Source organism: Homo sapiens, chromosome 9, assembly GCF_000001405.40.
Source record: "Homo sapiens chromosome 9, GRCh38.p14 Primary Assembly".
Taxonomy (NCBI): domain Eukaryota; kingdom Metazoa; phylum Chordata; class Mammalia; order Primates; family Hominidae; genus Homo; species Homo sapiens.
Genome location: NC_000009.12, coordinates 109,928,353 through 109,941,040, shown reverse-complemented (window position 1 = coordinate 109,941,040; position 12,688 = coordinate 109,928,353). Strand labels below are relative to the sequence as shown.

Sequence of the window (12,688 nt, the reverse complement as noted above, 5' to 3'; positions counted from 1 at the left end):
AAGAGAAAGAAAACAATTAATGTGTGACAAAGACTATATGGTCCACAAAGTCTAAAATAGTTAAAATCTGGCCATTTATACAAAAATTTTGCCGACCCCTGCCAGCCTGTGCTCCATCCTGCCCACAGTTACTTGAGTCATAAACCCTCTGTTGGTTCCTTGTGTCTTTAGAAAATAAACACCAAACTCCCCAGCATGGCATATAGTTCCCTTCAGGATGTGTCTGCAAACTTCCTTTCTAGCCTTGTCTTGTGGGCTCTCTCATTCTTTACACATTGTGGCCATAACGACTTCTCACTATTCCCAGGACACTCAACTTCCTCCCACGGCTGCTCATCTGTGTGCCTGCTGTCCCTCTGCCTAGATAGCCTTCTGTTGCTCCTCCAAACTTCTAGAGATCTAGCCCATCTGCTTGTCATTGTCTTGAGTCCCTACCTCTTTCTGAATAAGTTCCCTGTGTTAAGAAGATCCAAACTATCTTTTCAACCATATGTTCTAGTGCTCCTTTTCCATTTAGCACAACCAAATAACACCATCCCAGACGTAAATATCTTCTGCTTTTGTTAAGATTCCCTTCTCCTGAAATGTCTTTGTTTTGAGTTTCTACATATCCAAATATGGCCCATTGATTAACGCCAAGGTCAACTGCCTCCTCTTCCATAAGCTTTCTTTGATCCTTCCATCTCTAAGTCATCCCTCTCTTAAAATTTTCTCAATACTTTTTCTAAACTTCTCTGAAGGCTCTTAACAATTACCACTCAGTTGTATAATTATCTGTGGGAATGTTTCATCAGCTTCATAGATTTTTAGGATCTTTTGAGGGTTAGTTTCTTGCCCAACACCTATCCATGATGCCCCCTCCCTGTCAGCACCTACCTTAGAGCCATTTGTATAGCAGGTACCCAATATACACATCTCTCAAACAAAGGCTAATAATTCAAGAGTCTAATATGGTTGTTGTAATCTAGTAACAAATACTTTGTATAATATGACACCAATGAAATGGTACACACAGTAATTAATGTTTGAACTTGTTTGAAAAAATAACAGTGATGATATTGTTCCATCTGCTTGCATAATAAGATACACTCTGTTCCTGGTTAACACTTAACTAAAAAGATTATGAAACAAAATCCCATGTTTGGTTTTCATCAGATCCATTTTGAAAGTTTCACTTGTTCAGCATAAAGATCTCAAGTTTCTTCAAGTGACACAATGGGAGGCCAACCAGCATTTGTCATAGAGGTGCATGGACACACACAATGACTGTGTATCCAAATAAACATTTATCTCAGTTAGTTCCTGATTTCTCACAAAATGTGCCATCAGAAGAATAGAATAGGCATTTAAAATTTGCATGGACTCCAAAAGCCTGTTCTTGAAATATAACACTTATTTTAAAAAGCAGTTTGGGATTAGAATATATCTTATCACTATTAACACACTCATGGGACACAGTTATAAATAAGGAAAGTAATAATTGTTAGTTTGTAGGTACAATATCTTATTATTCTGCAAACATTCAGTTATCTGTGAACAAATCCACACACTGGCCTGCGATCAATACAGAATATGGAACAAAATATTTCTATTTTTATATCCATATGTGATAGGATAAAAATACAAATTATTAACATGGGGATGTTTACAGATATCCCTCTCCCTCTTCCCACCAATGAGAATGCTGATCATTGTTGGTCCAATTTTCTGTCATTTTAATCTTTGCCTGTTCTAGAATCAGAGCCTGGAAGAAAGGAGAGATGATGATGAAAAGTTCTTTGCTGGAAAGGTTAAGTATATCCACATAATACACAAATGAGAAAGAAGGAGTTTAGTGGGAAAGAGAGTAAAAACTGTATGAAATATGCATAGAGAAGGAGTATTTTGTGGTGGTAAATGATGCTTTAGAGCAGGTGATATGTGGAGGAAAGAAAAGTGAATATGAGAATTATTACTTAGTGGAGATATAAATTAGGTCCCTTTTATTTATTTTTTATTATTATTATTATTTTGAGACAGAGTCTTACTCTGTCACCCAGGCCGAAGTGCAGCGGTGCGACTTTGTCTCACTGCAACCTCTGCCTCCCGGGTTCAAGCGATTCTCCTGCCTCAGCCTCCCAAGTAGCTGGGGTTACAGGCATATGCTACCAAGCCTGGCTAATTTTTGTATTTTCAGTAGAGATGGGGTTTCACCATGTTTACCAGGCTAGTCTCAAACTCCTGACCTCAAGCGATCCACCCTCCTCAGCCTCCCAAAGTGCTGAGATTACAGGCGTGAGCTACCGCACCCGGCCAAGGTCCCTTTTAATATCCTTCAGGAGAAATAGTTAAAGAACAGAACACCTTCTTAATGGTTTTTTGGTGTGCAATTTTAAGCTGTAGTTCTTTAAATGTGATATGGCTCTGGGACTGAACCACATGTGACATGGTTTTACTAGGGTTACCTATTTATATTTACATGTTGTACACTATTCTTCCAATATTCCTAGAATATGAGCATAGAATATTTTAAGAATTTTAATATAATTTTATAATAAAATAAACTTAGATATGTTATGTCACAAAATGCATATGTATTTTTTTCCTAGATAAAACATAAGGCTTCAGAGGAACCACAAATCACACTTAAGAGTGTGATTCTACATTCCTTTCTGCATTCACTCTTTCCTCCAGTAAAGAGAACAAAGGCGAACACTTTGAGAAGCTCTGACTTAACCCAAAGGCAATATTTCGTTTTCATGGATACATATATGAGAATGTTATCTAGGCCTTTTAGAAAGCCATGCAAGAGGTGTGAATGTTTAAATGTCATCTTTATGAGTAAGCATTTATATTTTGCTTCAGTTCTCAGCCAATAATATACAAAAGCATGAACTAGAGTGCATATGAACCAATAGGAACATAAGACTTACGTTTTCAGTGCAATGTCTTATTTTTGATGCACAAGATTTTAAAAACTCTTCTACTTCCTGTTGCTGCCAAAAGTTTATACCAATGGCCTCTCACACTTTTCATCCCTTTGTCTCTAACCACAAAGCACAGAGCATACTCTCTAACCTGCCCTGTCTTCTCTCCAGCTTCTCCATGTCAGAGGTACACTACAATTTGTATAATGATGAGGGTCAAAGGGCTTGCTGCCTTTGTTCATCTTATTTAAAAAATGAGGAGGGAGTGCTGTTGAGGGGTGAGGGCTTTCTGGGGAGCCCTGAAAGAAATCTTGAAACATACATGGACATACAGAAAAGTATTTGAAGGAAAGCTCTGGAAATTTTCCTGGATGAAGGACCTGGGGAAGAAGGAAAAGAAATAGAAGACAATTCAATGGAAGTTTCACTGATAGGCTGGCTGAAATCTGGAAGTATGTTTTTATTAAATTATGTATTTAATTATTGATTTCCAAACCCTATATACTGATGACAATGAGATTGGAGTATATAAAGCATATTTGCTACTCCTTCCAAGAAGCCAGCGAGACAGCTGAGTAATATGCTGTTTTTAAGAATTATTTTATTTTATTTTATTTTAATATGCTCTTTTTATTAAAGAGAGTAAGAACGAATGTTGCTAGCTTATTCAAAGGGATACAGATGAATGACTGCATGGATACTTTGATTTTGGGCCTCCGCATTTGGTTTTCTTGGTTCTTGCTCCCTAATAATTCTTTCATCAATAGGGAAACGCCCTGAAGGAGTAGAGACATTAAGTTGAGGTTGAGAATTCCAGTCTCTAGGTTCTGAAAACACCCAGGTGTGGAGCGGAGTGTGAGGCCTCTGGGGAAGGTGCCCACCTAAAAACCAAGGTGGTAGTTTTGAGCAGAGAAGCGATTGCTCTGCAGGGCCCAGAGAGATGGGTCTGAGGAGCAGAGAATGTTTGGTTCTGATTCAGACTTATCCCCCTGGCTCTACACATGCCTGTGTTGCCTGTTGCCTTCACCTTTGGCAGAGTGAAAGCAACTGCAAGGGCTGTAGGGAGCCTAGAGAAGAGGGAACAAGAGTAACCGACACAAGCAAGGCGGGAAGAGCAATGGACATGAATACATTTGAGCATCAGTCCAAGAGCATACAAAACAAGACTATTCCAGGAGGATGGAAAGTTCAATCATTGATTCAGGCTTTTCCCAGCTCACTTTCTTTCACTCACTGTGATTACGGGAGGAGGAACAGGCTGAGAGCCCACATCTAAAATATAAGCACCACATGTTCCGCTGTCATTAGTCAGGGAGATGGGAGGAGGGAGAAAGATAGGATCTGAATTCCTATCCAGATCACACCCCATTTTGGGGCTTCATTTTCTCATTTGTACAATGAAAGTTATCCAGATTTGATATTTTATGGTGCTGTGAACACCCTGCGTGGTTCACGAGTCAGTGATGCGTAAAGTACAGTAGGAGAGAAGCAGATCATAAGTGTCATCCATGGGGGGTCAGGGTCATCTCAGTAACAGAAACATCCAGGAGTTGGCATTGCACCTGGCATGTGATAGACAAGCAATGCACATGGTTGACTTATTGAATGAACACACATATGGGTAGTCTTATCCCTTCGAGCAAATGGTTATACATATAAATATGTGTTCACATATTATCTTTGGGCTGGAAATGTAAAAATGGCTATTGTGATGCCAATGACAATAAAAATGAGGAAATTAATTCAGAATGGGTTCTCCCTCTCATCCGAAAGCACAATCTCCAACTTCAAAAATATAGTTAGATAGAAGGAATAAGTTCTAATGTTCAATACAGAGTAGGGTGACTAAAGCCAACAATAATTTATTGTCTACTTCAAAATAGCTAGAAGATTTTTGAATGTTCCCAACACAAAGAAATGATAAATGTTTGAGATGATGGATATCCTCATTACCCTTTTTTGATCATTATACATTGTGTGAATGTATCAAAATACCACATGTACCCCATAAATATGTACAATTATTATGTATCAATAAAAAATTGTAACTCCCCCCAAAAAAAACAGTGATCAAAAATTTCTGTGAATCAATTGTTTTTCCAAGACACCTCAGTAGTAACAAAAATAAGTCAGCAAGGGTGTGATGTTGATGGATAATAAAGGCAAGCCAATTTCTTGTGTCTGATTTTGCTTCTATTTTTGGTCAAGAAGGAGAGTTTTCAGCCTGTAAAGTGCCAGAAAGAAAGTGGCAGAAAGGGAAGTGAAGCCCAGATGAGCAGAGAAGATTGGAAAATAACATAGCACTGCAGGGATATAAAGGCTCTCAGTGCTTTGGGATCAGGGTCCCAGTTCCCTTGTTGAATTTGTCTCAAGAATCTTGAACATCAGGAAAGGTGCTGGAAGCTGACACTCAAAGGTCTGATTTTCAAAAATGAGAATGAGGGGATTCTAAACTACATCGAAGGAGCTTGACATCATGGCTAGCTAAATTCTAAAGTTAATCTTCAAAGACCAGAGATGACTAAGAGCCAGCATGGGTTAATCAAGCAGAAACTATGCAGATTAATCTCATTTTCTTTTCTGTTCAAGGTCTCTGGAAAGAATAGGCAAATTGCATTTGAAAAGATCCAGAGTATTTGGATTATCACAAAATCCCTTATATTCCTGTGGACTACACAGAAACATGTGCCTTGGGTGTTAAGACAATTAACTTGTTAGTGGTTGCATGATCATACCCCAAAGATGTCAATTTAGGGTTATTGAGGGCCAAGAGATCTCTAATGGTGTGCCACAGGGCTCTGACTTTGGTTCCAACATGCAACATTTTTAGCAATGAGATGATAAAAAATAATAAAAGATTGCTTTTTCAGATTTGAGGGGGTACTAAACTGAGAAGCAAAGTGAGGCTATGAGGATACCATAATCATGAGCTACAAAGACCCTAACAATAGAGAAGAGGGTTTTCTACATTCAAAACTTGTTGAGGCCTAGATTCAAGTGAAATCTGATGTGGAAACACAATATGTAAACATGAGGATGGAGGAACTGCGCGTGTTTGAAATGGGAGGGAATGTCAGAGCCCTGTCAAATCCCATGACATCATTCCCTTCCCCCACTTCCTGCTGTGGTTCCTCAGTGCCTCCATGAAACCCGCAACATTCTTGAGAGACAATCTAACAAGAAGAAATTTAATAGTCATAGCAAATCTACAAAGGACAGAAAAGTGCATAGCTCATGCTTATTTTTGTCTTTCGAGATTAAAAAACAAAAGAATTCTGTAGGTCCTTCTATGTATGAACAGGTGAAGTAGTATATGTATAGCTAGGGGAAACAGACTGAACATTTCAACTGAAATGACTCAGAAACAACAATTCTATGGATAAACGGAGTGAGGCTGAGCAGTGGCACACATGAAATGACTTTGAGGCCTTTCAAAACTGAAGCTGAAAGGCCACATTGCCAGCAAAGTCAGCCATGTGGTCTGCAGCGTCGTGCTCTATTTTGGGGGTGAGCAGCCTAGCTCTGAAGGCATTGGGTAGCTCTGAGCATGATACATCAAGAAGACTAGCAACCAAGTGAAGAGCGTGCAGAGGGGAGGGACAGGGATGGCGGAGGGTGTCTAAAGGCAATCTCATCATCTCAATACCAGCTGGAGAGACTGGGACTGTGAGCACAAAGGGGATTTAGAGTGAGGATCTGGGAAAAACAGGAAATAACAGTGACTTTCTACACTTGAAGGGAAATTAGAACTTAGATGTGCTCTGAGTAGCTCCAGGGTGCAGGATAAGGATAAGTGGGTGGATGATGAAGGCAGACAAATGATGGCTCCATCAGAGGAAGAATTTCCCAATAGTCAGAACCAACCAGAGATGGAATGGGAAACTTGGAGGAAGATTAAACATGAATCACAGAGGTGTGTGACCAGGGTTTGAGGACCTCTTCACAGGGCTGCTATGTTAAGGATTCAATGTTTGGATAAAGGATTGGAATAGATGTCTCCTAATTCTGAAAAGCAATGATTCTAAATAAATTCCCATTTATACAGAGTCCCAAACCTTCCAAACGCCAAACAACCAGGATATTTGTTATACTACTCAGTAATGACAAGTGACATTTGTCAAAATGTCCCTGAGGTTATATAAATTTCCAAAAGGACATTCCTAAAGCAAGATGGACTGTATCTAGGAGAATTCTAGTGAGTACCCTTGGTTGGTAAGCCACACATGCTCTGTGTAGTCACCATTAACCATAATTGATCATGAATCTGAACATCCCATTCCCTAAACAGCCTGGACAAAGGAGTTCATCGTAACAAATACAATTCCTTCCATAGCTCTGCTTATATGTAATCCCACAGTAGATGCATTTACGCAAATTAACTCTTAACTAATCAGCAGAAACATATGTAAAATTACTTTGAAAAAGATTCTGATCACATTATACTTTTGAAAATGCATTGGCTTTTAAAATCATGTTTTGCAGGATCTTCAAAGATAAAGGGAGCTGGGTTGTGGTAATAATGTGTATTGCTGCTTACACAGCACTACAATCACATTCATGTGTTACTCTTGAACTTTAAACTCTTTGACTACCCACACTGCTCAAATTCTTTTTCTGTCTCTTAAAATTATTTCTCATACATTGTCCCTACCCTCCCATAAGCTGATCCATATGTTGGATCATATCCTGTGTCCTTTGAAGTGCAGGAACTTGTGCAGAGGACCTGAGAAGTTGTTTACCCACAACTATCAGGAGCCATCAACACCCATGTCTCTAATAACCAGAGGGAAGGGGTGTCACTCTTAAACACATTTTACCTAAGTTGACCTCAGAAGTGTACCTCAGAAGTGTACCCTGGAGTACTTAAAGAGTCCAATGTTAAAGTGACTGCCAGTGAGTCCTTTGAAGCATAACTGCAGGTTGCAGGTTCCTGTTTATCCATCCTGTCACTGTCCAGGAAGATGTGGAACTGGCTCTGGATTGACCAGATACCACTTACAGTCCCAACCATCTCTAGGACTCTGTGAGTCTGTACATAAAAGTAATCTGCTAAGATGTTTACAGAGATGCCCAACAGATATTTAAATTAGCCAGTGGACGTGACAACTATGTTAATTCTTACTTGCCTTTTATTTTACTTTTGTATTAAAATAAGTAGGGATTCTTTGCTTCATGAAATATTCAGGTTGGCCTATATAAAAGATATCCTCTGGCTTAAACATCCATGATTGTTTTACTTTAAAAAATCTGCCATTATGTGATTTATTTTAAACATACACTTACCTAGAATATGCAAAGCAGAATCTGATACTCATATTTGAAGTCACCTATGTTGTAACTAACCATGCAACCTTGGGCAATTCATTTTTCCATTTAACCCCCAGCCCTCAGCACATTTCTGTGTAGATCATAAGGGTTCGTGTACAGATTTATTGCTTGCATCCTTCCAGTTCTGATTTCTGAGGCATGTCTGCATTAAGCAGAGCAAAGCATGGTTCTCCCTACACTCAACACTCATAAATATATTATTTGTAAAATTTCCAATTGTGAGACACATTAGCAAGTAACATGTGTGCTTTAAATTGCTTCTTTTCCTCCCAAATATACCACAGTGGCTAAGAAATAATTCCAGAAATGGGAAGACTTAGGAATATATGTATTCATAATATACAAATAGCACAATTCCCAAAGGATTCTGTAAAGATACCACAGGCTTTGAAAATATTTCCCATCCAGCTTCCATCATGGATGGCTCTCTCAATTTGTATATTTCCAATGAGGAAAATGAAAATCCCTGGAGGCAGAATACAGATTAACTTTGAGAATAAACACAGATATAAGGACCACAAACACCAAAGAAAGACTCCCCCGAAGTCGGAGGTGAAATGCCGTATGATTTCCTCAGAACTCCTTCCCATTTGGTCCTCAGTTACCCATCTGGGGCCGGTGCCTGCCTTGTGTGGCCACTGTGAAGGCTGCATCTGAGGCTGGGCTGAAGGTGAGCTCCCCCTATGTAAGGATAGCAGGGCACTCATCTCATTAATAAAGCTCAGTGAAATGCAAGCCCCTTGGACCATCCTAGCGTCCAAAGGTCCCCAGGACTTACCAGCCGCTCTGCTGGTCCCGTCCTGCCCAGGTGATGGTTCTGCTGTTCGTGAACAGAGGATTGGCAGGTCGGGAAGCTGGGAGGAAATGTAATTTACTGCATCTGGTAGCAGAGAACAGGGAATACAATTAGTCACAGTGTTGGGAGGCCCAATGGGTTCACTGCCGAGACAGCAGCTTGTCTGCCCTACATAATGGACCGCTGAGGCGGCCACTGAACAGGAGGATCAGGGTAAACAAAGACAAGCATTTGCCCAGTGACTGGTATTCAGCAGAGTAGCTGAGGCAGGAGGGATCCTGGCCAGAGAGCTCAAGCCCCAGGATGGCTCTATGTATTAGAAGAGTCATCAGAAATCTCTAGATTCTAGGAGGACAATGAGTTCAGGGACGGGGGGAAGATTCAGAGATGGGCTTGTGGGAGCCATTATCAACTTGGTGGGATTGACAAATAGAAAACATGGAACTAGAAATGTACATTAAACAGTACTGAAAAACAGATCCATTCTCTGAACCGGAAATAAAGCTTTCTGTGTCTGATTATTATGGGGTTCATTCCCTGAACTGGCAATATAGCTTTATGAGCCTGATTCATTCAAAAGACCAATTTTATATGCATTACAACAAATAAACAGACTTCAGAATTGATCTCATGTTTTCAATACTGCAGGCTGGTGTTTCAGCTAGAAAGTCCTGAGATTCTAAATGACAATACCCCTTGAGCCCACCATTAGCCCAGTTGCAGGGAATGTTGCTATGTAAAAGAAGGAGCCCATTAGATTTGCTTGGGCAAATACCTCGACAAGCCTCTTTAGGGAGGTGAGACATGGGGAGCATGAACATTAGCAAGCATGCCAAGGTATCAGAGGAAAGGAGGAAACCCCTGAGGTAAGACAAGACAAATCTGGGTACACCCCAGAAAGAAGTGGGAAAGTGAAAGCAGGAAGATTCCGGAAAGCTGGGCACCATGAGATGTGATCCCTTCCTTGCATCACGACCATATCACAAAATCCTGGAACGTCCATCAGTCATCAATGGTTACATCTAACTGCTCACTGTAGGTCTATACTGAATATCCCACAATCACCTCAAACTCAACATGTGCAAAATGGACCTTGTATCTCTGCTCACCTGCTGCTTCTCCTGTCCTCTATCTTGGCTCACGAGCACTGCAGTTCACCTGGGATCCTCAGCAGCACCCTTCACTCTTCCCCCTGCTGGTATCCAATCTGTTCAATAGCCTCTGCCTCTGTTCAAAATCCTCCGCATTTCTCATCACTGACCCCTCCTCTGCATCCCCACTCGTACTGCTTCCATTCTAGCAGCTTTCTTTTTCATTTCTTGCTGAAGAGGATTGCAAACACACACTGGACTAGGCTTAGTTCAGTTCTAGACCAACCAGACCCTTTTCTGACTTGCAAATGAGTCTGAACAATCCAGAATGTATTGACATTAGACCATTATGTTCATAGGCAAAGGTAGAGTATCGCTAAGAAAACAGATTTTTCGCCGGGCGCGGTGGCTCATGCCTGTAATCCCAGCACTTTGGGAGACCAAGGCGGGTGGATCACCTGAGGTCAGGAGCTCGAGACCAGCCTGGCCAACATGGCAAAACCCCGTCTCTACTAAAAATACAAAAATTAGCTGGGCATGGTGGCATGCACCTGTAGTCCCAGCTACTAGAGGGGCTGAGGCAGGAGGATCGCTTGAACCCAGGAGGCGGAGGTTGCAGTGAGCCAAGATTGTGCCACTGCACTCCAGCCTGGGTGACAGAGTGAGACTCTGTCTCAAAAAAAAAAAAATAGATTTTTCCATATTAACCATTTGGGGAGAAGGAATGAGAAAGGAAGATTAGAACAGCAGGACTTAGGGTGGAGTGAGGCTCAAGTTGCTTTCCCTCTCAGGTGCCTTATATGTGTTGGAGCTTGGATCCTGGATAAGGCAGACATGGTTGAAGGCACCCCTCACTGCAAGGAAGGAAATTGAGCCTTTGAGATGATGGTGGGCTGGGAGATGGCTGGAAAGCAGCCTGCAGGGACCCCCTGAAGATGGTTTTGGATTTGAGTCAGGGGCTGTGAGTGAAGCCACATGTCTGAAGTTGTGCATTATTCTCCATGTTGAACTGCACCTCCATGATTCTCTCTCTTTTTTTTTTTTTTTTTTTTTTTTGAAATGGAGTCTCACTCTGTCACCCAGGCTGGAGTGCAGTGGCGCAATCTCAGCTCACTGCAAGCTCTGCCTCCCAGGTTCACGCCATTCTCCTGCCTCAGCCTCCCGAGTAGCTGGGACTACAGGCGCCCACCACCACACCCGGCTAATTTTTTGTATTTTTAGTAGAGATGGGGTTTCACTGTGTTAGCCAGGATGGTCTCGATCTCCTGACCTCATGATCCGCCCGCCTCGGCCTCCCAAAGTGCTGGGATTACAGGCGTGAGCCACCTCCATGATTCTTAAACTTAGGTCACAGACTTCTCTTTCCTTTAATTCCCACTGTGGAAGGCTGTAGGAAGGGTCTGTGCCCCAAAGCAGCACAAGGCAGAACTAGAAAGAGCAGCACCTTGAGGTCAGTAGTCCTGAGGGGGTAGGGGCAGGTGGGTGACAATTGTCCGTGGGAAGAGTGAAGCAGTAATCTAGGACTAGAGGGTCAGTTTAGGAAAGAAGGGATGACCAGAGCAGATTTGTAGAACTTCCAAGATTCACTGATAATTTCCAGAAATCTGTGGAATGGGATCTTGGTGAATTTGACTTTCTGCATTCAAATAAGATGGAGGCTGGAGCCCATGTGAGATCTCATGGACTGGTCACATGTGTGTCTGCATACTCAATGTTTTAGCAGTTTAAAAAAGAAACAAAAAAAAAAAAACTACTTACAGACAGGGAATTTTCCATCTGAAAGAACATGTGATTCCCAGGGCTTATGTCTCAGCCTCCTCCAGGAGATAGCTCCCTGCCAGATGGGAATGGATGATGGAGTTACCTTTGCCAGATGTTTACTGGCTACAAGCTTGAAGTCTACAGCACTTAGAGGGTTGGGCTACATGGCTTCTGTTAAGAGATAAGGGAATGGGCTGGGCGCAGTAGCTCACACCTGTAAACCCAACACTTTGGGAGGCTGAGGCAGGCAGATCACTTGAGGTCAGGAGTTTGAGACCAGCATGGCCAACATGGTGAAACCCTGTCTCTACTAAAATGCAAAAATTTGGACTGGTGGTGTGTGTCTGTAGTCCCAGCCACTTGGGAGGCTGAGACAGGAGAATCGCTTGAACCCTGGAGGCGGACGTTGCAGTGAGCTGAGACCACGCCACTGCACTCCAGCCCGGGTGACAGAGTGAGATGCTGACTCAAAAAAAAAAAAAAGAGAGCGAGAGAAAGATAAGGGAGTGGAGAATGGGGCATCAGAAAGAGGACAGAGCAGCCCCCTCAATATATGATTAAGTACTAAACCCTAAGGTTATATAGACAGGAAGTGTCTGATAGGCCAGCACAAAGAGTAACAAACAGGCTTGCCAAAACTTCAATGGGAAAAACTTCTTCAGGTGGCCTCAATTAATAAGCTGCCCTCTTCCTGCCAAAGTCAGAATAGTCTAACACTATTCTCCCCACTGACAGAGAAGGTGGAAAGCAGTAACTTATAGAGTAGAAATTAAAGATGAGTGCTGCTTCTTAGTTCTAATCCCGCT

At 41.7% G+C, this 12,688-nt stretch overlaps 1 protein-coding gene across 14 annotated transcripts in view; it reads right to left on the bottom strand.

The window, feature by feature from the left end:
• Positions 1-12,688, bottom strand: part of PALM2AKAP2 (PALM2 and AKAP2 fusion) — a 531,726-nt gene that overhangs the window by 231,472 nt on the left and 287,566 nt on the right. For 7 of the 14 annotated variants that reach the window (XM_047423410.1, XM_047423411.1, XM_047423414.1 and 4 more), the window contains exon 6: positions 9,013-9,114. The exons of the other annotated variants lie outside the window; for them this stretch is intronic. In XM_047423410.1, coding sequence (XP_047279366.1) covers positions 9,013-9,114 — 102 coding nt within the window. The remainder of the gene's footprint in view (positions 1-9,012; positions 9,115-12,688) is intronic. 14 annotated transcript variants of the gene reach the window in all.